This window comes from Homo sapiens, chromosome 1 (assembly GCF_000001405.40).
Source record: "Homo sapiens chromosome 1, GRCh38.p14 Primary Assembly".
Classification (NCBI taxonomy): domain Eukaryota; kingdom Metazoa; phylum Chordata; class Mammalia; order Primates; family Hominidae; genus Homo; species Homo sapiens.
The window spans coordinates 212,822,895-212,848,689 of NC_000001.11; the positions used below are offsets into that span (position 1 = coordinate 212,822,895).

The following is a 25,795-nucleotide window of genomic DNA, read 5'->3' on the forward strand; positions in this document are numbered from 1 at the left end:
CTGACTGATAGGGAAGGCAATCAGTCCACAAAACTCCACCATTCCCAAGACCAAAACTTACCTTCCTCTCTTTCCCTCCCATCTTTCATGTATTTTGAGGCTTCTTTCCTGATTTTAAAATGTCAGGATAGGGAATAAGAACTTTGAATTTTCCAGGAATTGCTTAACCTCAACCCCAGAGATGGTCTTGAGCCATTAAACCCTTAGGGGTAGTTATGCCTTGCAATTCATCAATAGCCACAATTCACTGTTTATGTAATACTCCTGTCATTATAAAAAGCCCTCTTGTTGAGGCCGGGAGTTGTGGTCATGCCTGTAATCCCAGCAGTTTGGGAGGCTAAGGCGGGAGGATCACTTGAGATAGAGTTCCAGACCAGCCTGGCCAAATGGTGAAACCCATCTCTACTAAAAATACAAAAAGTAGCCAGGCATGGTGGGTGCGCCTGTAGTCCCAGCTACTCCGGAGGCTGAGGCACGAGAATCACTTGAACCCGGGAGGTGGGGGTTGAAGTAAGATGAGATCGAGCCACTGAACCCCAGACTGGGTGACTGAGCAAGACTCTGTTAAAAAAAAAATCCTTTTGTTGGAAACTCAGAAGAAAAGTCAGGAGTCAGGAATTAATTTGACCAGAAAGAATACACCCGTTGGAATCAAACAAAGAATCGAGTCTGTGAAATTGTAGCACAAAACCCCACACAAAACAAGTCCTAGGGGAACTTCTCCCCAATCCCCAAAGGTCACAAGAGATCTCCAATAACCCCATTTCCCAAGGTTCCTCTCTGGGTTTGAGGTGTGTCACACAGCTACCTCTACCACCACAACAAAGCTTGCCAATGCAATACTGTCACCAAACAGAAATTTACTGGACTGACTAACACATATTATCAGGGAAGCCCATTTTAACAGGGGCCTTCTGAAATCAGTAGCTTCCTATAGAAGGACTCTACATGCAAATGTCATTTGAATCTGCTTCCTCTCACTTTCTTATCTGGGACCCAAATGGAAACATTTATTATTGATGTAATTTAAGAAGCCTAAAAACGATCATTGAAATATCTAGTTTCCTGTCTGTGCCAGGGCGGCACGCGGTCCACGCCAAACAATAGAGATGCTCAGGCTGTGCCCTCAGGGACCAAATGGGAGACAATAGCACCTGCGGGGACAGAGAGCCCAGACATCAAGCTCTTTGGGAAGTGGAGCACCCATGATGTGCATGCAGATCAATAACATTTCCCTGCAGGATTACATTGCAGTGAAGAAGTATGCCAAGCACCTGCCTCACAGTGCAGGGTAGTATGCCGCCAAACGCTTCCGCAAAGCTCAGCACCCCATTGTGGAGTGCCGCACTCACTCCATGATGCCGCAACAACTGCAAGAAACTCGTGACCTTGCGCATCACCAAGCATGCCTTCGAGACCATTCACCTGCTCACAGGAGAGGACTCTCTGCAGGTCCTGGTGAACGCCATCATCAACAGTGGTCCCCGGGAGGACTCCATACGTATTGGGCGAGCCGAGCCTGGGCCGTGAGACCACAGGCTGTGGAAGTGTCCCCCTTGTGCCGTGTGAATCAGGCCATCTGGCTGTTGTCCACAGGTGCTCGTGAGGCCCTTTGGGGCAGCCCCACGAAAAAGAGAGAGAAGAGAAGAGAAGAGAAGAGAAGAGAAGAAAGAGAAAGAGAAAGAAAGATCAAAAACTGTTAATAAAATAGCAATTTGGTTTTCTTTTTCTGTGTGGGTTTTTTTTTTTTTTTTTTTTTTTTTTTTTTTTTTTGAGATGGGGTCTCACTTGACAGAGCGACGATCCAGGCTGGAATGCAGTGGCGCCATCTTGGCTCACTGCAACCTCTGCCTCCCTGGCCCAAGCCATCCTCCCACCTCAGCCTCCCAAGTAGCTGGGACCACAGGCACAAGCCACCATGCCTGGCTAATTTTTGTATTTTTGGAAGAGACAGGGTTTCGCCATGTTACCCACGCTGGTCTTGAACTCCTGAGCTCAAGCAATCATCTCACCTCAGCCTCCCAAAGTGCTGGGATTACAGGCATGAGCCATTGTAGCCAGACACAAAATTTGTTTTTATTTAAATGTTATTAATTTATGTTTAGGGACAGGGTCTCGCCGTGTTGCCCAAGCTTGTCTTGAACTCCTGGCCTCAAGCAATCCTCCAGCCTCGGCCTTCCAAAGTGCTGGAATTACAGGCATGAGCCACCACACCCAGCCACAAATAGCAAATTTCTTACAATTCCTCCAGAGTGCCAGTCAGCCTTGCTCTTTACTAAATTTCCCAGAAGCCTACCAAGGCTGCCCTGTGGATTTCCTGAGCCACCTGGTAGAGCTGAGGATAATGAGTTTCATGTGGGGCCCCCTCTACTCCTCTCTGGTTCTCAAGGGCACGGGCAAGGCCAGAGTCCATCCACCCCAGTGGAATTCAGAGAGTGGGGAATTGGGAATCACGAGCATTGGCCTGGGTCTTTCAGATGCCAGAGAATCCCCCAGTATAAGGTAAAGGGTTATTTTGGGGGACAGCTTCTGTGATGGTTAATTTGATGTGTCAACTTGGTGAGGCTACATTACTCAGCTAGTTGGTTAAACATTATTCTAGATGTTTCTGTGAAGGTATATTGTAAATTAGATTAACGTTTAAATCAGTGGACTGTGAGTGAAGCATGTTACCCTCTGTAAAGTGGATTGGCTTCCTCCAATCAGTCGAAGGCCTTAGAAATAGAAAAAGACTGACCTTCCCAAGCAAGAAGGAATTCCGCCAGCAGACTGCCTTTGGGCTTTGCAGGGAGCCAGGGCAGAAAAGGAGGAAAGTGTCTGTGATTTAGTGCTACTGAGGAAACCCATGCATTGACAGATATGAAACACTCCTGGGAGGGGGTAGAGAGCATGTGGACTTTCTGCCATTTCAGGTAAGGTCAGAGTCCCAATGGATATATTGTCTTGTGACTTTTGAGTTTCTGGTTTTAGCCTGAGACTGTTGTAGGGTGTATAGAGGAGGATAAAGTAGAAAATGCCTAAGGTGGTGTTAGAAATGCAAAATGCTTGTTCCCCAGTGCAGCAAAGAAATAGCACTCCAACATAAATTTAATTTTCTCAGCAAGGCAATTTTTACTTTCTGCAGAAAGTGTGCCCTTCACAGATGGAACAATGGTGAGAGCATACCTGGACAGGGGAAGGGAAGGAGTTATTCCTGATGCAGGTAGCTCCTACTGCTGTGTCGTTCCCCTATTGGCTTAGGTTGGACAGCACAGTCTAAGCTAATTCCGATTGGCTGTTTTAAAAAGAGCAGGAGTACGAGCCGGAGTGGCAGCGTGAGTAGTTTGGTGGGAAAGATGGTTAGGAACAGGTAACTAAGGTGACTTAGGTCAGACTGGGTGACCAGGCATGACTCAGGTCAGAGCAGGTGACCGGAATGAGTCAGGATGAAGCAGGTGACCAGGGGAACAGATGTGAATTACTAACTAGGACTGGTGGGAGAGTTGTTTACTGAAACCAGAGGCAAGGGGGTGAAGAGAACCAGGAAGTTAAGCTTTAAAATGGAGAATCAAAGAATAAGAGAGCTGAACATACTAATATACTCAGCCAGGCGTGGTGGCTCACGCCTGTAATCCCAGCACTTTGGGAGACTGAGGTAGGTGGATCACATGAGATCAGGAGTTTAAAACCAGCCTGACCAATATGGTGAAACCCTGTCTCTACTAAAAATACAAAAATTAGCCAGGTGTATTGGTGCATGCCTGTAATCCCAACTACTCAGGAGGCTGAGGCAGGAGAATTGCATGAACCCAGGAGAAGGAGGTTGTAGTGAGCCAAGGTCACGCCACTGTACTCCAACCTGGGTGACAAAGCTAGACTCCATCTCAAAAAAAAAAAAAAAAAAAAAAAAACAGGCTGGGTGCGGTGGCTCACGCCTGTAATCCTGGCACTTAGGGAGGCTGAGGTGGGTGGATCATGAGGTCAGGAGATTGAGACCATCCTAGCTAACACGGTGAAACCCCATCTCTACTAAAAATACAAAAATACACACACACACACAAAAAAGATTAGCCAGGCGTTGTGGCAGGTGCCTGTAGTCCCAGCTACTTGGGAGGCTGAGGCAGAAGAATGGCGTGAACCCAGGAGGCAGAGCTGGCAGTGAGCCGAGATCACGCCACTACGCTCTAGCCTGGGCAACAGAGCGAGACCCCGTCTCAAAACAAACAAACAAACAAACAAACAAACAAAACATGCTAACATACTGATTCTTTGAAGAGAAAATTGGGGTTCACTATAAATTTAACAGTGGGATCAGGGGTGAGGGAAGGTTTCCAGAAGGAGGTGTTATCAAATTAAATCTTGCACAAATTGAAGTTAGGTAGAGAGGAGGTAACGGAATAAGGCAAGTTCAGAGAGTCACAAGTAGGTCTATAAAACCAGAGGCACACAGCTGGGAGGGTGGATAGGGTTAGGAGAGAGCTGAGGTTAGAGAATGTGTTAATTGTACTGTCCAGCTGGGTGTGGTGGCTCACATATGTAATCCCAGCACTTTGGGAAGCTGAGGTGGGAGGATTGCTTGAAGCCAGGAGTTTGAAACCAGACTGGTCAACATAGCCAAAGTAAAAAAATTAGCTGGGCACGGTGGTGCACACCTGTCTTCCCAGCTACTTAGGAGGCTGAGGTGGGGCAATTGCTTGAGCAGGAGAGGTTGAGGCTGCATTGAGAGGTGATCACCCCACAGCACTCCAGCCTGGGCAACAGAGTGAGACCCTGTCTCAAAAAGAAAAAGAAGAAAAAGAAATGTACCGTCCATACCCTGACACGCCTTTACCAAAACCTATGTGTTTATTTCCTATTATTCATCCTAGCTAGAGCCAAAGAAATAATACTGTATTTGATAGTCTTTATTTGAGCTTCTGAATGTGGGGAGATAATTATCTACAGGACTCCCATGTTTCTGCACATCTAGGGAGCAGAAGCACTGACGACCTTTGTTTCAGGTAATCTCTTTGGAAGATCGTGACTCCCTCTGGAGCAGAGGGCAGCTCTGTTTACCATCCACTATAATGAAGATAATGTCTCTTTCTGGGCAAAGGTTGGGTTTCTTTAAGCTCAGGATTCCTCAGCTATGAGGCAAAACCTCTGCGTGTGTGGCATCTACCTGGACATCTTCACATCGCCCCATGGATCTTGAGGGAGTGGGGGAGGGCAAGGGGAACTGACCCCAACAAGAGGCTTGTGTTCCTTGCTGTGCTCTAAGTAGTAAAATCCTTTGCCTCTGAACCAGGAGCCTCATGTCTTCTGCAGGTGCCCATGACAGCTGTGCCAGGATAATCCTTTAGTTATTAACACTAGGTATTTGCTTTAAAACAAACAAACAAAAACAGGCCGGATGAAGTGGCTCATGCCTGTAATCCCAGCACTTTGGGAGGCTGAGGAGGGCGGATTGCTTGAGGCCAGGAGTTCACGACCAGCAACATGGCGAAACCCCATCTCTACTAAAAATACAAAAATTAGCCAGGCATACACTTGTCATCCCAGCTACTCAGGAGGCTGAGGTGGGAGAATCATCTGAGACCGGGAAGTCCAGCTGCAGTGAGCCATGATCATGCCACTGCACTCAAGCCTGGGTGACAGAATGAGACCCTGTGTCAAAAAAAAAAAAGGCAGACTTTCACCATGTTGCACAGGGTGGAGGGCAGTGGCTATTCACAGCCATGATCCTGGCACACTACAGCCTTGAACTCCTGGACTCAAGTGATCTCTCACTCCAGCCTCCTGAGTAGCTGGGACTATAGGTATCTGCCACCACTGCCTGGCTAGGTATTTGCCTTTTGGGAAGTGAAAAATTAGCTGTAGTTCTGTGTCGTTTGTTTTTATTATTTTTAACATTTTCTCATGGTTGATGAGTCTTATCCACACTGTGCCCTACTATATAGTCCTGACTGACATAGGGTTTTAAGCCAGCTGGCTTATCCATATCCCTTCTAATATCAGAATGCTTTGGCTCTCTATGAATCTGAGCTTCCTGTGGAAGTAGAGGGCAACCAAATAAAAAGTGAATGTCTTATTGAAATAAATACAAATGCCAAGAAGCTCTGGGTTCCAGGCCAGGCAGTGCTCTGCTTGGCATATGGACTAGGTTCTTAACCACACAAAGGAACATAAGCCAAGTTAAGATCTGAAGAGGCTCATGCCTGTAATCCCAGCACTTTGTGGGGCTGAGGCGGGCAGATCACCTGAGGTCAGGAGTTCGAGACCAGCCTGGGCAACATGGTGAAACCCTGTCTCTACTAAAAATACAAAAATTAACCTGGCATAGTGGCACACACCTGTAGTCCCAGCTACTCAGGAGGCTGAGATGAGAATTGCTTGAACCTGGAAAGCAGATGTTGCAGTGAGCCAAATCACACTGCTGCACCCCAGCCTGGGCAACAGACCAAGACTCCGTCTAAAAAAAAAAAAGTGATTTGAAGAGACTGTGATCCAAGAAGCAATGAAACGGAGGTGATAGTAGCCAAATAGGATGTGGCCATGAGATAATTCTAACCATCACCACTGTGGGGATGGACAACGTAATGTAACAGAAAGCCCTGTCTACAGGCACCTTATATTAGCCTCTCAAATATCTCCTTATTCAAATAATCAAAACCATAACTTTAACAGAGGAAGTTAATCTATCATTTATAAGCAAGTGTTAACTTTTTAGCCTTCAACCTGATCAGTGGGGTTGGTCAATATATTCCATTGAGTTATAGAAACAAATATAAACTATTATTTAAACATTTTAGATTACTAAGGAGAAGATTGCCTGGGCATGGTGGCTCACACCTGTAATCCCAGCACTCTGGGATGCCAAGGCGAGTGGATCACCTGAGGTCAGGAGTTCAAGACCAGCCTGACCAACATGGTGAAATGTCATCTCTACTAAAAATACAAAAATTAGCTGGGTGTGGTGGCGTGCGCCTGTAGTCCCAGCTTCTCAGGAGGCTGAGACAGGAGAATAGCTTAAACCCAGGAGGTGGAGATTGCAGTGAGCTGAGATCATGCCACTGCATTCCAGCCCGGGGAACAGAGCAAGATTCTGTCTCAAAAAAAAAAAAAAAAAAAAGGGATCACTGTAAACTAAACTCTTAGGTATTCATGTTTGAAAGTAACTAAAAAACTCAAATCCTCTCTTCAAATCATCTAAGTTTAAATGATAGAATGGAATGAATAAAGATATGTTTTATGTGACTTAATGTTTTTTGAGGGATCTAGTGAATACTTTTGTTTAGCTTTGTTTATAATTAATAATTTGTAAATAATTTAGACACACTGAAGAAGAATCAAAGAGAATGTATTTCCGTGTGTCTCTGGAGATGCACTTTATCCAAATATGGCATTATCTGAAAAAATAAAAAATAAAAAGTATTTGTTATATAACTTATAACACATTTCATGGTTTTTAAAATAACCCTGGAGGGCAGAGTATTGTTTTTCAGATACAGGAACTAAGGTTTAGAAACACCAAATGGGCCGGGTGCGGTGGCTCACACCTGTAATCCCAGCACTTTGGGAAGCCGAGGTGGGCGGATCACGAGGTCAGGAGATCGAGACCATCCTGGCCAAGATGGTGAAACCCCATCTCTACTAAAAAAATACAAAAATTAGCCGGGCGTCGTGGCGCGCTCCTGTAGTCCCAGCTACTCAGGAGGCTGAGACAAGAGAATCGGTTGAACCCAGGAGGCGGAACGTGCAGTGAGCCGAGATCACACCACTGCACTCCAGCCTGGGCGAAAGAGCAAGACTCCGACTCCAAAAAAAAAAAAAGAAACACCAAATGGCGGCCAGGCGCTGTGGCTCACGCCTGTAATCCCAGCACTTTGAGAGACTGAGGTGGGCGGATCACGAGGTCAAGAGATGGAGACCATCCTGGCCAACATGTTGAAACCCCCATCTCTACTAAAAAGACAAAAATTAGCTGGGTGTGGTGGGATGCGCCTGTAGTCCTAGCTACTCAGGAGGCTGAGGCAGGAGAAATCAGTTGAACCCGGGAGGTGGAGGTTGCAGTGAGCCGAGATCGCAACACTGCATTCCAGCCTGGTGACAGAGCAAGAAAAAATCTCAAAAAAAATTAGCTGGGTGTGGTGGTGCACACCTGTAATCCCAGCTACTCTGGAGGCTGAGGCAGGAGAATCGCTTGAACCCCGGGCAGCAGAGGTTGCAGTGAGCCAAGATCGAGCCACTGCACTACAGCCTGTGACAAAGTGACAGAGTGAGACTCCGTCTCAATAAATTAAAAAAAAAAAAAGAAAGAAAGAAACACCAAATGGTTGGGCACGGTGGCTCACGCCTGTAATCCCAGCGCTTTGGGAGGCTGAGGCAGGCAGATTGCTTGAGGTCAAGAATTTGAGACCAACCTGGGCAACATGGCAAAATCCAGACTCTATTAAAAAAATACAAAAGTTAGCCAAGCATGGTGGCACATGCCTATAGTCCCAGCTACTCGGGAGGCTGAGAGGTAGGAGGATCGCTCGAGCCCAGGAGGTTGAGGATACAGTGAGCTATGATCACACCACTGCGCTCCAGCCCCAGTGACAGAGCAAGACTCTGCCTCTAAAAAAAAAAAAAAAAACCTCAAATTACTAAAAGCATGATACTAGTCAATGACAGAGGCAAAACTTGAACCCAGGTGTTTTTAATTCTATATATTTAAATAAACTGCCCCCCTTTTGGGCTCCACATCTCCAAGTGGAAGATTGAAAAGAGGGCCTGGAAATCTCGGACTAAGAGAACTTCTTTCCTAGTCTTCACGTCACTATTAATAGAAGCAAAGAGGATCACCCAGAACTCCAAATACTCTATGCAAAATCTGTAACATTACTTCCCCTCAACACACAGGCCTCCCCACCAGGTTAGACCACCGCTAGGTTCGACCATCAGGACTAATCTCATTCTGTCCCTTATCCCTGTTTACACTGGACTCCTCAAGGAACCCAGGAGTCCTGGGTCATCCCTCATGCCCTGGATAGTAATCCCCATATAGTTATATGGGCAGCAATACACCCTCCATCCAACACTTCCTATCCCCCACCCTGCTGTTTTCTGTTTCCCCATAGCTCTTACCCATTTATCACTATCTGATCGGACATTTACTTCCTTTTTTTTTTTTTTTTTTTTGAGACGGAGTTTCGCTCTTGTTGCCCAGGCTGTAGTGCAGTGGCGCGATCTCTGCTCACTGCAACCTCCTCCTCCCGGATTCCAGTGATTCTTCTGCCTCAGCCTCCAGAGTAGCTAGGATTACAGGCATGCACCACCATGCCCAGCTAATTTTTGTGGGGTTTCACCATGTTGGTCAGGCTGGTCTCGAACTCCTGACCTCAGGTGATCCACTCGCCTCGGCCTCCCAAAATGCTGGGATTACAGGCGTGAGCCACTGTGCCCGGCTGAAATGTACTATTTTTTAACTTGTTTATCTGGCTCTCTACCCAGTGAAATCTAAGCTTTTTTTTTTTTTTTTTTTTTTTTTTAGAAATAGAGAAGAGGTCTCTCTATGTTGCCCAGGCTACTCTCAAACTCCTGGGCTCAAGGGATCCTCCTGCCTCAGCCTACCAAAGTGCTAGGATTACAGGCATGAGCCAGCACACCAAAACCTAAGCTTTTTGAGGCAAGATTTTATTCATCACTGTATTGACAAGCACGTAGAAGAGTGCCTGACATCAAGTAAGCACTGATATATATTCGTTGAATGAATAAAGAGTAAATGAGTGTTTCTTCCTCTTGCACAGGTATGCAAAGGAAAGGAGTACAGTGCCTTCCAATTCGTATTGAATATGTCCAGCAAAATTACTGTATTATTACCCTCCTGCATTTCTAAAGATTATTCCACAGCAACCAACTAAGGTTGCTGTGAGAAACTCTTAGGTTTGTGAGCCATTGCCCAAGGACATAGCTATTGGTCTCGAGAGGAATGAGGTAAGTTCTACCACTACTTCTGGGAAAGTATATTCCATGTCCCAACATTTATTCAATCAGCCAGGAAACGTTTCCTGAGTTCCTAATTTGTGCCAGACACTGTTCTAGGGACTGAAGATAAAGTGGTGAAAAAAGCAGATACCATCCCTGCCTTCAAGGAGCCTAGCCTTCATTAGGGAGTGATAAACACTGTGGTAAAAAAGAAAGCTGGGTAAGGGATTATAGAGTGTTGAGGAGTGCTGCTTAGATAGGGTGGTTTCTTTTGTTTATTTTTAATTTCAGTAGTTTTTGGGGTAAAGGTAGGTTTTGGTTACATGGGTAAGTTCTTCAGCGGTGATTTCTGAGATTTTGGTGCACCCATCAACCGAGCATATAGTCTTTTATTCCTTGCCCCTCTTTTACCTTTCTTTCCCTTGGGGTTCCTAAAGTCCATTATATAATTCCTATGCCTTTGCATCCTCATAGCTTAGCTCCCACTTATAAGTGAGAACAGACAATATTTGGTTTTCCATTCCTGAGTCACTTCACTTAGAATAATGGCCTCCTGGCCGGGCTCAGTGGCTCAAGCCTATAATCCCAGCACTTTGGGAGGCCGAGATGGGTGGATCACTTGAAGCCAGGAGTTTGAAACCAGTCTGGCCAACATGACGAAACCCCATCTCTACTAAAATACAAAAAAAAAAAAAAAAAAAAATTAGCCAGGCGTGGTGGCAGGCAATCCCAGCTACTTGGGAGGCTGAAGCACTTGAACCTGGGGGCAGAGGTTGCAGTGAGCTGAGATCACGTCATTGCACTTCAGCCTGGGTGACAGAGAGACTCAGCTTTCACAGAATTGAAGAGAGTTGGGGCCTTGCTCTGGGTTAGGCTTTGACTTAAGGAAATGTTGTGGCTGGGTTCATCTGTCCAGATCACTGAAACTTTCTCCCTATCAGCAATAAGGCTGTTTTGCTTTCTTATCATTTGTGTGTTCACTAAAGGGAATTTTAAATTTCCTTCAAGGGTTTTTCCTTTGCATTGATAATTTGGATAAATGACTGGCACAAGAGGCCTGGCTTTTGGCCTATCTTGGCTTTTGCCATGCCTTCCTCACTAAGCTTAATCATTTCTAGCTTTTGATTTAAAGTGAGACGTAATACTTCCTCCTTTCATCTCAGGTGATCCGCCCACCTCGGCCTCCCAAAATGCTAGGATTATAGGCATGAGCCACCTTGCCCAGCCCTAGAGTTATTTTTGAATAAAACAAACACATGACTGTTACAAATTAACTCTAAACACAGTGGAGAATCTCAGCTTTCTACACCACACTGTATCACACTCTACTCCACTTCCTAAGAGCACTGGGCAAGTGTAAAGTCACAGCCACATCAAAGAATTGAAATCTCAAGTGTGGTGATTCTTTTGTTTCTGATCTAAATTAATAATTTGTTGGTTGTATTAGATATGATTACACACCCCCTTCTCTTTTTTTCAAATAAATGAAAAAATGCTATCTCAGCTGCCTGCCTAGACTAAGAAACAAGTATTCACAATGAAGGTATTTATCAGCTCCCCTTCTTCCTCCTATAAAATAATACCACCACCATCACCACCATGCCATCCCCTGCCCCCAACAACCTTCGTCCACTTTTTTTTTTTTTTGAGAAGGAGTCTCACTCTGTCGCCCAGGCTGGAGTACACCGGAGTGATCTCGGCTCACTGCAACCTCCACCTCTGGGATTCAAACAATTCTCCTGCCTCAGCCTCCCAAGTAGCTGGGACTAAAGGTGCGTGCCACCACGCCCAGCTAATTTTTGCATTTTTAGTAGAGATAGGGTTTCACCATGTTGGCCAGGCTGGTCTCAAACTCCTGACCTCAGGTGATCCGCCTGCCTTGGCCACCCAAAGTGCTGGGACTGGAGGTGTGAGCCACCGCGCCCGGCCTCTCCACATTTTATTAGGGCTTTTTGTGTGATATTTGTCATCAAAAGGATCTCCACTGCACCTCAATTTTGCACATGAAATGTTTGTAAAGGCCAGAGAAATTGACGAGATAGCAGGTTTCTGAAGTTTTTGTGGTCTATTGTAACTATTATAACAACTCTTATCAAAATGTGGTTCTCAGGCCATTGGCATCAGCATCACCTTAGTCTGCTGAGAATGCAGATTTCCAGGCACCTCCCTAGAGTCTACTGAATGAGATGGCCTGAAGCTGAGGCCTGGGATTCTGTATGCATAAAAAAAGAGAGTCTCTGGTCTATAATAGATCTTACAATCCACCAGCCTAGTTTAATGACACTTTTACCTTCAAACAGATTGCCTTTATGCTATACCAGGGCAATACTCAGGGGACCTCTTTCAATCCCAGAAATTCTTCCTAATTTTTAGGAATACCTACAAATCATTCCTATACATTGGTTAAGAATCCTATCATAGGCCGGGCACGGTGGCTCACGCCTGTAATCCCAGCACTTTGAGAGGCCAAGGTGGGTGGATTACCTGACGTTGGGAGTTCAAGACCAGCCTGACCAACATGAAGAAACCCGGTCTCTACTAAAAATACAAAAAAATCAGTCAGACTTCGTGGTGCATGCCTGTAATCCCAGCTACTCGAGAGGCTAAGGCAGGAGAATCGCTTGAATCCAGATGGAGGTTGCTGTAAGCTGAGATCGTGCCATTGCACTCCAGCCTGGGCAACAAGAGCAAAACTCTGTCTCAAAAAACAAAAAAAGAATCCTATCATAGGCTGGGTGTGGTGGCTCATGCCTGTAATCGCAGCACTTTAGGAGGCCGAGGTGGGTGGATCACCTGAGGTCAGGAGTTTGAGACCAGCCTGGCCAACAAGGTGAAATCCCGTCTCTACTAAAAAATACAAAAAAATTAGCCAGGCGTGGTGGCAGGTGCCTGTATTCCCAGCTACCTGGGAGGCTGAGACAGAAGAATCGCTTGAACCCGGGAGGTGGAGGTTGCAGTGAGCTGAGATCGCGCCACTGCACTCCAGCCTGGGCGACAAGAGCAAAACTCCATCTCAAAAAAAAAAAAAAAAATCCTATGATAACTTCTTACTTTTTGGTGGAAAGTGCTTTCTCTCCATGTGAGCAAGGAGACTCAGCTTGATCCAGGAGCTCCTGCCACTGTTGGGAACAGGCTCTTTGGTTGTGGTATCAGTAAAGGACTGATAGGCATCCGGGAAGTGCCTCTTTTGAACTCTCAGTAAGCTGACTTGATTGCTTCGTTCCACCAAGCAGTTGGATTCACGCTTTTTGTTTATCTCCTCCAGGAGATGTTGTTTGCTTACTCCATGTTTTTTCATTATTTCAATGGTTCTGTTTATAGATGCCATTATGGTCACAAACCAATTGTCAAGTGATTCTTGCTGTCCTACAAACAAATGAAAAAATACTTTCAATTGTCTTTTTGACTCAGAAGCCAGTATTCACAATCACGTTTGCCAGTTTCTCTTTTTGCCTTCTATAAAATAACACCACAACCACCACCAAGCCTCCCACCCCACGCTTCACTTTTTTATTTACTTATTTTTTTAGACAGGGTCTTGCTCTGTCGCCCAGGTTGACACACAGTGGCATGATCTCAGCTCACTGCAACTTCCACCTTCCAGATTCAAGTGATTCTTGTGCCTCAGCCTCCTAAGTAGCTGGAATTACAGGCGCGCACTACCATGCCTGGCTAATTTTTCTATTATCAGTAGAGATGGGGTTTCGCCATGCTGGCCAGGCTGGTCTCGAACTCCTGTCCTCAGGTGATCCACCCACCTCAGCTTCCCAAAGTGCTGGGATTACAGGTGTCAGCCACTGTGCCCGGACAGCACACCTCACTTTTTTTTTATTTTTTTATTTTTTGAGATGGAGTCTCACTCTGTTGCCAAGGCTGGAGTGCAGTGGCTCGATCTCAGCTCACTGCAACCTCCGCCTCCAGGGTTCAAGCAATTCTCCTGCCTCAGCTTCCTGAGTAGCTGGGATTACAGGCATGCACCACCATGCCCAGCTAATTTTTTTTTTTTTTTGTATTTTTAGTAAAGACGGGGTGTCACCATATTGGCCAGGTTGGTCTCGAACTCCTGAAGTTGTGATCCACCCGCCTCGGCCTCCCAAAGTGCTGGGATTACAGGCATGAGCCACCGTACCCGGCCACACCTCACTTTTTATTATTGTTTCTTAAGGGTTTTATTTTTTGTTTTTTAGGTGTTCTTCAGGGGAAACAAAGGTTAAAAAGATATGGTAAGAGGATATATTATTGTTTTTTAAAATTATACTATGCATTGTTTTTTGCTTTTAGAAGCATTATTTCTTCTGATTATAAAAATAATACATGTTTATTACATATATTAATAATGTAATAGATAAATAATACATGTTTAATACATGATTATAAAAATAATACATATTCATGGTAGATAATTAAGAAAATACAGAAAAAGATAAAGTAGAAAAGTTAAAATTACTCTCGATCCAGAGACATCCATTAATATTTTGGGTGTTACTTTCCCAATAAGTATCCAAAGGGATTTTATTTTTTAAAAGTGGCGGCCAGGCGCTGTGGCTCATGCCTGTAATCCCAGCACGTTGGGAGGCCAAGGCGGGCAGATCACAAGGTCAGGAGTTCAAGACCAGCCTGGCCAACATAGTGAAACCCTGTCTCTACTAAAAATACAAAAAATTAGCCAGGCATGGTGGCAGGCACCTGTAATCCCAGCTACTCAGGAGCCTGAGGCATGAGAGTCGCTTGAACCCGGGAGGCAGAGGTTGCAGTGAGCTGAGATCACGCGATTGCACTCCAGCCTGTGCGACAGTGTGAGACTCTGTCTCAAAAAATAAAATAAAATAAAGTGGCCAGGCGCAGTGGCTCACGCCTATAATCCCAACACTTTGGAAGGCCTAGGTGGGAGGATCACTTAAGCCTGGGAGGTGAAGGTTGCAGTGAGCTGAGATTGTGCCATTGCACTCCAGCCTGGGTGTCAGAGCAAGATTTGGAAAGATAGCGAAATATTCAGCACTGATAAATGATACAGTCCACAGTCTCAAGAAGCTCAAACAATAGCAGTCAGGATTTTTAAAAAGCCCACGCTGAGATTACAGTGAACTTAAAAAGAAAAGAAAATCTTAAAAGCAACCAGAGAATAAAAGGAGGGACAATTGGACCAACAGCTGACTCCTCAACAAGCAATAACATAAACCAGAAGACAAAGAAATGGGGCTGGGCGTGATGGCTCACACCTACAATCCCAGCACTTTGGGAGGCCGAGGTGTATGGGTCACCTGAGGTCAGGAGTTCGAGACCAGCCTGTTCAACATGGCAAAACCCTGTCACTACTAAAAATACATAAAAAAATTAACCGGGCATGGTGGTATGCACTTGTAATCCCAGCTACTCAGGAGGCTGAGGCAGGAGAATTGTTTGAACCTGGGAGGCGAGGTTGCGGTGAGTCAAGATCATAGCACTACACTCCAGCTTGGGCGGCAGAGCAGGACTTTGTCTAAAAAAAAAAAAAAAAATACATTCGTCATCATCAGTCACTAGGAAAGTGTAAATCAATACTACAATGAGATATCACTACATACCACTAGAATGGCTGAAATGAAAAAGACTGACCAAACCATGTGTTAGCAAAGATATGGAGGACCTGGAATTCTCATATGCTGCTAGTGAGAATGTAAAATGGAACAATGTCTGGAAAATAATCATGCAGCTTCTTAAAAAGTTAAACATACTCCTATCATTTGATCCATTCCTAGGTATTTACCCTAGAGCAATGAAATTCTCCAAACACATGCATAAAGAAATGTATCTGTACATATGAAAACTAACACATGAATGTTAATCACAGCTTTTTAAAAAACTTTTGTTGTTGTTGTTGTTGTTTTTACACAGCTTTATTTTTATTTATTTATTTTTGAGACAGGGTCTCTTTCTGTCACCCAGGCTAGAGTGAAGTGGCGTGACCATGGCTCACGGCATCCTCGACCTCCCAGGCTCAAGCCATCTTCCCACCTCAGCCTCCCAAGTAGCTGGGATACAGGCGCAGGCCACCACACCTGGCTATTTTTGTTTTTATTTTTCATAGAGATGAGGTCTCATTATGTTCCTAAGGCTAGTCTTGAATCCTGGGCTCAAGGGATCCTCCTGCCTTGGCCTCCCAGAGTACTGAGATTACAGGTGTGAGCACAGCCACCAGGCCCAGCCCACTGCTTTATTTTTATGAGCCAAAAAGTTCTAACAACCCAAATGTCCATCAGAAGCAGAACAAATAAATTGTGGTATATGTGCACAATTGACACTGAGTTATAAAATATATTTATATATATTATATATATATATAATATATTCCTTTTACCTGAGATGCTAATTCATCAATATATATTTTTGAGTAGTGTTCATATATTGTTGATAAACACAATATTATGGCTGAAGCTCAAAATAACTATGCTGAGTAAAAAGAAAAAAAAAAAGCCAGACAAATCAGAATGTATAGTGTACGATTCCATGCATATAAAACTCTAGGAAATATTAGGCTAGGTATGGTGGCTCATGCCTATAATCCCAGCACTTTGGAAAGCTGAGGAAGGAGGACTGCTTGAGCTCAGGAGTTCAAGACCAGACTAAGCAATATAATGAGACCTTGTCTCTACAGAAAATTCAAGAATTTAACTAGGTGTGGTGGCACCTGCCTGTAATCCCAGCTACTCAGGAGGCTGAGGTGGAAGGATGGCTTGAACCCAGGAGGTGGAGGTTGCAGTGAGCCGTGATCACAAAACTGCACTCCAGCTTGGGCAACACAGCAAGACCCTATGTCAAAAAAAAAAAAAAATGCTAGGAAATATGAAGTCCCCTACAGTGACAAATGAAAATCAATGGTTGCTTGGGAATGGGGAAAGGTAGGCAGCAAGGGTGGCAGGGATTACAAGGGATATGAATAAACTTTGGGGCTGATGAATATGTTTATTATCTTAATTGTGGTGATGCTTTCCTGGGTGTATGCATATGTCAAAAACATCAAACTGTACATTTTAAACATGGACAGTTCATTGTATGTCAATGACCAGTCAATAAAGCTCTTACATAAAATTGGGCTGAGTACCTAGCACATTGCCTAATGAATATCAGGTGGTTGATAAATATTTTAATGAATGAATAAATAGTATATATTACTTACAAGTTTTGATTTTCTTTCACTTTAATATAGTTATTGTGAGAATTTTTCATGTCTTTACATATGTCATTAGTAATAAAAATGTAAGATTTGACAATGTAATAGTCTATCATGTGAATTTATAATTTTTTTTCTTTTTTTAAATTTAATTTTAGTGGGCCAGGCGCAGTGGCTCATGCCTGTAATCCCTGCACTTTGGGAGGCCAAGGCAGGCAGATCACCTGTCAGGAGTTCAAGACCAGCCTGGCCAACATGGTGAAACCCCGTCTTTACAAAAATACAAAACTTAGCCGGGCGTGGTGGCGCGCACCTGTAATCCCAGCTACTTGGAAGGCTGATTCGGAAGAATCACTTGAACCCGGAAGATAGAGGTTATAGTGAGCGGAGATCGTTCCATTGCACCCCAGCCTGGGCAGCAGAGCGAGTCTCCGTCTCAAAAACAAACACACAAAATTAATTTTAATTTTAAATTATTTTGTTTTCATTTTGTTTTGTTTTTTTGAGACAGAGTCTTGCTCTGTCGTCCAGGCTGGAGTGCAGGTTCAAGCGATTCTCGTGCCTCAGCCTCCCAAAGTAGCTGGGATTACAGAGGCGCACCACCATGCCCAGCTACTTTTTGTACAGGCGTGGGCCACCGCCCTCGCCTGTTTTGTTTTGTTTTGAGACCGAATCTCGCTCTGTCGCCCAAGCTGGAGTGCAGGGGCGCGATCTTGGCTCACTGCAAGCTCTGCCTCCTGGGTTCAAGCCATTCTCCTGCCTCAGCCTCTCGAGTAGGTGGGACTACAGGCGTCCGCCACCACGCCCGGCTAATTTTTTTGTATTTTTAGTAGAGACGGGGTTTCACCATGTTAGCCAGGATGGACTCGATCTCCTGACCTCTTGATCTGCCCGCCTTGGCCTCCCAAAGTGCTGGGATTACAGGACTGAGCCACCGCACCCGGCTCCGCGCTCACCTTTTAAATTCTCTCTCTCTCTCTTCTTTTTTGAGGCGGAGTCTCTCTCTGTCTCCAGGATGGAGTCCAGTGGAGTGATATCGGCTCACTGCAACCCTGACTCCCTGGTTTCATGCGATTCTCCTGCCTCAGCCTCCCCAGTAGCTGGGATTACAGGCATGTGCCACCACACCCAGCTAATGTTTGTAAGTCTTTTTAAATTCTTTTAGAGTGGGAGACACCATCTTTCCTTTTTTTTTCTTTTCTTTTGAGATGGGGTCTCATTCTGTCACCCAGGCTGGAATCCAGGGGCATGATCTTGGCTCACTGCAACCTCTGCCTCCTAGGCTCAAGTGATCTTCCAACCTCAGCCTCCTGAGTGGCTGGGACCACCACAAGTGCGCACCACCATGCCCAGCTAATTTTTTTGTATTTTTGGTAGAGACAGGGTTTCAACATGTTGCCCAGGCTGGGCTGAAACTCCTAAGCTCAAGCGATCTACCCACCTCAGCCTTTCAAAGGCTGGGATTACAGGTATAAGCCACTGTGCCTCACATTAATTATTCTTTTTATTGCTAGACTTTAGGTTGTTTTTGATTTATTTTTATAATAATGCTTTGAAACACATTGAAGTGACAGAAATCACACAAACACACATTGTTTTAGGAAAGCTACCAGAGCCATCAATTTTTCTTTCCTAAATAAGCAAAGAAGAGGTATCTTTCTTTTTTTTTTTTTTTTTTTTCTTTTAAGAAGGAGTCTCGCTCTGTCGCCCAGGCTGGGCGTCACTCCCTCTCAAAAAAATAAAATAAAATAATAAAAAATAAAAAGGTCAGTTTGTCAAGTGCCTATTTTTGTTTGTTAGTTTTGAAATGGAGTCTCACTCTGTCACCCAGGCTGGAGTGCAGTGGCGTGATCTTGGCTCACTACAGCCTCTGCCTCCTGGGTTCAAGAGGTTCTCATGCTTCAGCCTACTGAGTAGCTGGGATTACAGGTGTGCACCACCATGCCCAGCTAATTTTTTTGTATTTTTAGTAGAGAGGGGGTTTTCACCATGTTGGCCAGGCTGGTCTTGAACTCCTGACCTCAAGTGATCTGCCCGCCTTGGCCTCCCAAATTGCTGGGATTACAGGCGTAAGTCATCACTCCCAGCCTGAGTTAATTTATATTTTGTTAAAAGTCCATTTTAGGCTGGGTGCGGTGGCTCATGCCTGTAATCCCATCACTTTGGGAGGCCGAGGCGGGTGGATCACCTGACGTCAGGGGTTCGAGACCAGCCTGGCCAACATGGTGAAACCCGGTCTCTACTGAAAATACAAAAATTAGCCAAGTGTGGTGGCAGGCACCTGTAATCCCAGCTACTCAGGAGGCTGAGGCTGGAGAATTGCTTGAACCTGGGAGGCAGAGGTTGCAGTCAGCCGAGATCACACCATTGCACTCCAGCCTGGGGGACAAGAATGAAACTTGGTCTCAAAAAAATAAAATAAAAATAAAATAAAAGCCCATTTTATAGGTGAACTGCAAATAAAACATAGATGTCTTAGTTAAAAGTTCACCATGAAGTTCTCAAAATTCAAACTCTTATTACAAGTTACCTGACAACTGGAGCTAAATAAAACAAAATAGACACAGTAATAGAGTCTAGTGGTACAAGCATATTTTTTAAGTAAAAAAGATTTGATTAATATTTTACCTATGCTGCCTCCTAACTGTATGATCTTGTTTAAGTTACTTACCTTCTCTGGGCCTCAGTTTCCTGATGTGTTAAATGAAAATAATATCCAGGCCAGGTGCGGTGGCTCACGCCTGTGATCCCAACACTTTGGGAGGCCTAGGCAGGTGGATCACCTGAAGTTGGGAGTTCAAAATCAGCCTGGCCAACATGGTGAAACCCTGTCTCGGCTGGGCGTGGTGGCTCACGCCTGTAATCCCAGCATGTTGGGAGGCCGAGGCAGGCGGATCACTAGGTCAGGAGATCAAGACCATCCTGGCTAACACGGTGAAACCCTGTCTCTACTAAAAATACAAAAAAAAAAAAAAATTAGCTGGGCGTGGTGGCATGCGCCTGTAGTCCCAGCTACTTGTGAGGGTGAGGCAGGAGAATGGTGTGAACCCAGGAGGCGGAGCTTGCAGCGAGCCGAGATTGCACCACTGCACTCCAGCCTGGGCAACAGAGCAAGACTCCGTCAAACATACACACACACACACACACACACACACACACACACACACACTTAGCTGGGCGCGGTGGCACATGCCTGTAATCCCAGCTACTCTGGAGGCTGAGGCAGGAGAATTGCTTGAACTCCAGCGGCAGAGGTTGCGGTGAGCCAAGACCGCACCATTGCACTCCAGCCTGGGCAACAAAAGTGACACTCCATCTCAAAAAAAAAAAGAAAAGAAAGAAAGAAAAGTAAAGAAAATAATATCCAACTCACAGAGTGTCATAAGGACTAAATGAGCTAATAAATACCAAGAGCTTAATACAACCAACCCTCAATAAGTGGTAACTTTATCATATTAAATAGGCACTTTAAAAAAAGTTTTGTTCAATTTGATAAGTAAATAATTTAGTATTTTCTTTTCTCCCCAGTTTCTAATCTTGTTTACTTGCTGTGTGACTAGAATTGGCTACATAATTTGTAGGGTCCAGCGAAAATAAAAATGCTGGACCCTTTATTAACAAACAATGGAGACGTTCAAGGTAATGACAGTAAAACTTAAAGCCAATTGTGAGACCCTTCTGAGCAAAGGGCCCTATGTGACTGTTTGGGTCTCATGCCTGTGAAACTGGTCCTGTGTGTGACATAGGAACAGGCCAATTCCAACTGCTAATTCATCCAATTTTACAATCTCTTAAATGGAGATAAGTAATATGTTTAACTAATGACTTTGAAAGGTCTGGTCCAAAAACCAGACAAGTCTTACAGGTTAGTTCAGGATCTGTGCCTTATCAACCAAATTGTCTTGCCTATCCACCCTGTAGTGCCAAACCCATATACTCTCCTATCCTCAATATCTCCCTCCATTATTCTGTTCTAGATCAACCTAACTGACCCCATAAATCCTAAATCCTTTCCCCACTCTCCTTTCCATTCCTTAAAAGACAGCCCTAAAAGCTGCTCCCACACTAGCTCTCCCTAACTCATCCCAACTTTTTCATTACACACAGCCAAAGTGCAGGGCTGTGTGGTCAGAATTCTTACACAAGAGCCGGGACTGCACCCTGTAGCCTTTTGGTCCAAACAACTTGACTTTACTGTTTTAGCTTAGCCCTCATGTCTGTGTGCAGCGGCTGCTGCTGCTGCTTTAATACTTTTAGAGGCCCTCAAAATCACAAGCTATGCTCCACTTACTCTCTACAGTTCCCATAACTTTCAAAATCCATTTTCCTCCTCACACTTGACGCATATACTTTCTGCCCCTCAGCTCCTTCAACTATACTCACTCTTTGCTGCGTCTCCCACAGTTACCATTGTTCCTGGCCTGGACTTCAATCTGGCCTCCCACATTATTCCTGATACAACACCTGACCCCCATGACGCTATCTCTCTGATCCACCTGACATTCACTCCATTTCCCCATATTTCCTTCTTTCCTGTTTCTCACCCTGATCACACTATTGATGGCAGTTCCACCATGCCTAATCGCCACTCACCAGCAAAGGCAGGCTATGCTATTGTATCTTCTACATCTATCACTGAGGCTACTGCTCTGCCCCCCTCCACTATGTCTCAGTAAGCCAAACTCATTGCCTTAACTCAGGCCCTCACTCTTGCAAGGGACTATGCATCAATATTTATACTGACTCTAAATATGCCTTCCATATCCTGCACCACCATGCTGTTATATGGGCTGAAAGAGGTTTCCTCACTACGCAAGTATCCTCTATCATTAATACTTCTTTAATAAAAACTCTTCTCAAGGCCACTTTACTTCCAAAGGAAGCTGGAGTCATTCACTGCAAGGGCCACCAAAAGGCATCAGATCCCATCGCTCAGGGCAATGCTTATGCTGATAAGGTAACCAAAGAAGCAGCTAGCCTTCCAACTTCTGTCCCTCATGGCCAGTTTTTCTCCTTCTCATTGGTCACTCCTACCTACACCCCACTGAAACTTCCACCTATCAATCTCTTCCCACACAAGGCAAATGGTTCTTGGACCAAGGAAAATATCTCCTTCCAGCCTCACAGGCCCATTCTATTCTGTTGTCATTTCATAATCTCTTCCATGTAGGTTACAAGCTACTAGCCCGTCTCTTAGAACCTCTCATTTCCTTTCTATCGTGAAAATCTATCCTCAAGAAAATCACTTCTCAGTGTTCCATCTACTATTCTACTACCCCTCAGGGATTGTTCAGGCCCCCTCCCTTCCCTACACATCAAGCTTGGGGATTTGCCCCTGCCCAGGACTGGCAAATTGACTTTACTCACATGCCCCAAGTCAGGAAACTAAAATACCTCTTGGTCTGGGTAGACACTTTCACTGGATGGGTAGAGGCCTTTCCCTCAGGGTCTGAGAAGGCCACCGCAGTCATTTCTTCCCTTCTGTCAGACATAATTCCTCAGTTTGGCCTTCCCACCTCTATACAGTCTGATAATGGACCGGCCTTTATTAGTCAAATCACCTGAGCAATTTCTCAGGCTCTTGGTATTTAATGGCTCCTGGTTTTACCTCAAATCGCCACCCTTAAGTCTCTGTTTAAGTGGATAGAAGATCTTCATTGACAAAGTACACTCCTATACTTTCACCCTGATGAAGTCCTATTCTTTACTTTTATACTCACTCTTATTCTGGTTCCCGTTCTTATGCCACCCTCTACCTCTCCCCAGCTATCTCCACCACACTGTCAATCTCACTCTCTCCTAGCTGTTTCTAATCCTTCTTTAACAAACAATTGCTGGCTTTGCATTTCTCTTTCCTCCAAAATCACCCAGGCCTCCACTTATTCACTGCTAAAAAAAGAGGACTCTATATTTTTAAACAAACAGTGTTTTTACCTAAATCAATCTGGCCTGGTATATGACAACATAAAAAAACTCAAGGATAGAGCCCAAAAACTCACCAACCAAGCAAATAATTATGCTGAACCCCCTTGGGCACTCCTTAATTGGATGTCCTGGGTCCTCCCAATTCTTAGTCCTTTAATACCTATTTTTCTCCTTCTCTTATTCGGACCTTGTGTCTTCCTTCCATTTAGTTTCTCAATTCATACAAAACCACATCCAGGTCATCACCAATCATTCTATACGACAAATGCCCCTTCTAACAAGCCCATAATATCACCCCTTACCCCAAAATCTTTCTTCAGTTTAATCTCTCCCACTCTAGGTTCCCATGCTGCCCCAATCCTGCTTGAAGCAACCCTGAAAAACATTGCCATTATCTCTCCATACCACCCCCAAAAGTTTTCGCTGCCTCAACACTTCACCACTGTTTTGTTTTGTTTTTCTTATTATAATATAAGAAGACAGGAATGTCAGGCCTCTGAGCCCAAGCTAAGCCATCATATCCCCTGTGACCTGTACGTATACATCTAGATGGTCTGAAGCAACTGAATATCCACAAAAGACCTGAAAATAGCCTTAACTGATGACGTTCCACCACTGTGATTTGTTCCTGCCCCACCCTAACTGATATGATATATTCTCCCCTGCCCTTAAGAAGGTACTTTGTAATATTCTCCCCCCTCCACTTAAGAAGGTACTTTGTAATATTCTTCCCTGCCCTTAGGAATGTACTTTGTACACCTATCCCAAACCTATATGAACTAATGATAATCCCACCACCCTTTGCTAACTCCTTTTTTGGACTCGGCCCGCCTGCACCCAGGTGAAATAAACAGCCTTGTTGCTCACACAAAGCCTGTTTGGTGGTCTCTTCACATGGACGCACGTGACAAAAGGGGCTTTGAAGGGCTCCCCAAAATAGCTCAGTTGGGAGAGCATTAGACTGAAAAGGGCTTTGAAACTTCTTTTTCTTTTCTTTTTTTCTCTTTCTGAGACAAGGTCTCACTTTGTCACCCAGGCTGGAGTGCAGTGAGTGACTTGATCACAGCTCACTGCAGCCTCAACCTCCCGGGCTCAGGTGATCCCCCCACCTCACCTTCCAAGTAGCTGGAACTACAGGCACACACCACCATGCCTGGCTAATTTTTGTATTTTTTGTAGAGATGTCATTTTGCCATGTCGCCCAGGCTGGTCTTGAACTCCTGGGGTCAAATGATCCTCCTGCTTCAGCCTCCCAAAGTGCTGGGATTACAGGCGTGAGCAACTGTGCCCAGCCCAGGTTTTGAAAATATTAAACATGCATATACAGTAGATCCTCATTACTCATTGATTACGTATTTGCAAATTTGGCTACTCCCTAAAATGTATTTGTTATACATATAGCAAATAGCACTAGTAGCACTAGCCTGGGAAAAAGATCAAAACTGTGGTTTCCATATTGCTTTTGCGCCATCCATATTGCTTTTGAGCCATTGTAAAGTCGAAAAATTGTATGTCAAACAATTGTAAGTTAGGGGCCGGCCGTATTCTTTCTAGGAGCAATGGTTCAGTATTTGCTAATTTAATGTTTGTGGCAACTTTATAGAACATAACTATCATAATAATAAGAATTGACTGTACGAGAAAATATATTACTATTTCTACAGGTATATTATTATAAATTACCTTTAGCATACTACCATACAGCAACCCAAAGCGTGTTTCAAGTCCACTGGTGTGGATTAGCCCACTGGGATGACACCTTGGTGATGGAATATTCTGATCAGTGCCATTCCAACTTTGTTCTATTCATAGAAGCCTGGTTAAGAGAGGTTCTGGAGTCAGAGATCATTTACTTACCAGCCAGGTGACCTTGGATAAATATAAATTCCTCTACCCTCTTTTTTTTTTTTTTTTTTTTTTTTTTGGAGACAAGGTCTTGCTCTGTCACCCAGGCTGGAGTGCAATGGTGCAATCACAGTTTCATTATGTCGGCCACGCTGCTCTTGAACTCCTGAGCTCAAGCGATTCCTCTTGGCCTCCCAAAATGCTGGGATTACAGGTGTGCATCACCAGGCCCAGCCATTCAACCCTCGTAATATTGGTTTCATCATTTGCAAAATGGGGGCTAAAGATACTGCTTTCACCAAGCTGTGTGTTTGTATGTGTGGTAAGTGATGAGGAGAGTGTTGAGATTAAATTAGGAATGCATGTAAAGATTTTTGCATTGTGGCTGGCATCAATTTATTACATGTACTGATATGTTTTGAGCACATACTGTGCTTGGAGCTATTGTGGATACTGGGGACAAATGGGTCCTTGCCCCGATGAAGAAGAGTTCTAATCTAAAGATTCATTGTAAGTACTCAGTAAGTGGTAGCTACTTTATTGGTTTTATTAAAACTTTATATTTTACATGGGGAACTTGTTGTTGTTGTTTGTTTTTGTTTTGGTTTGGTTTTTGAGATGGAGTTTCACTGTTGTTGCCCAGGCTGGAATGCAATGACACGATCTCGGCTTACTGCAACCTCCATCTCCCAGGTTCAAGTGATTCTCCTGTCTCAGCCTCCTGAGTAGCTGGGATTACAGGCATACGCCACCACATCCGGCTAATTTTGTATTTTTAGTAGAAATGAGGTTTCACCAAGTTAGCCAGGCTGGTCTCGAACTCCTGACCTCAGGTGATCTGCCTACCTTGGCCTCCCTGGCCTCTTTTGTTTTTTGAGACAGGATCTCATTCCATCGGACAGGCTAGAGTGCAGTGGTGTGATTGAGGCTTACTGCAACCTCGACCTC

The 25,795-nt window shown here is 44.6% G+C and overlaps 1 protein-coding gene and 1 pseudogene across 1 annotated transcript; one reads left to right on the forward strand and one right to left on the reverse strand.

The window, feature by feature from the left end:
- On the forward strand, window positions 1,063-1,613 carry RPS5P4 (RPS5 pseudogene 4; annotated as a pseudogene).
- On the reverse strand, window positions 7,247-24,755 carry SPATA45 (spermatogenesis associated 45). The gene is made up of 3 exons (NM_001024601.3): window positions 24,686-24,755; window positions 12,979-13,293; window positions 7,247-7,367 (listed from the first exon to the last, which is right to left on the reverse strand). Exons 2-3 carry the CDS (start codon window positions 13,253-13,255, stop codon window positions 7,348-7,350), a joined length of 297 nt encoding a protein of 98 aa, NP_001019772.1. The 5' UTR covers window positions 13,256-13,293; window positions 24,686-24,755; the 3' UTR covers window positions 7,247-7,347.
- Between the last annotated feature and the right edge of the window lie 1,040 nt (window positions 24,756-25,795).

Coding starts and splice junctions, on each gene's coding strand:
- SPATA45 (NM_001024601.3), bottom strand. CDS start 13,255: ATGGCATCTATAAACAGAACCATTGAAATAATGAAAAAACATGGAGTA. Junction 7,368..12,978: donor AAAGCACTTTCCACCAAAAA/GTAAGAAGTTAT, acceptor TTATTTTTTCAG/ATAATGCCATATTTGGATAA.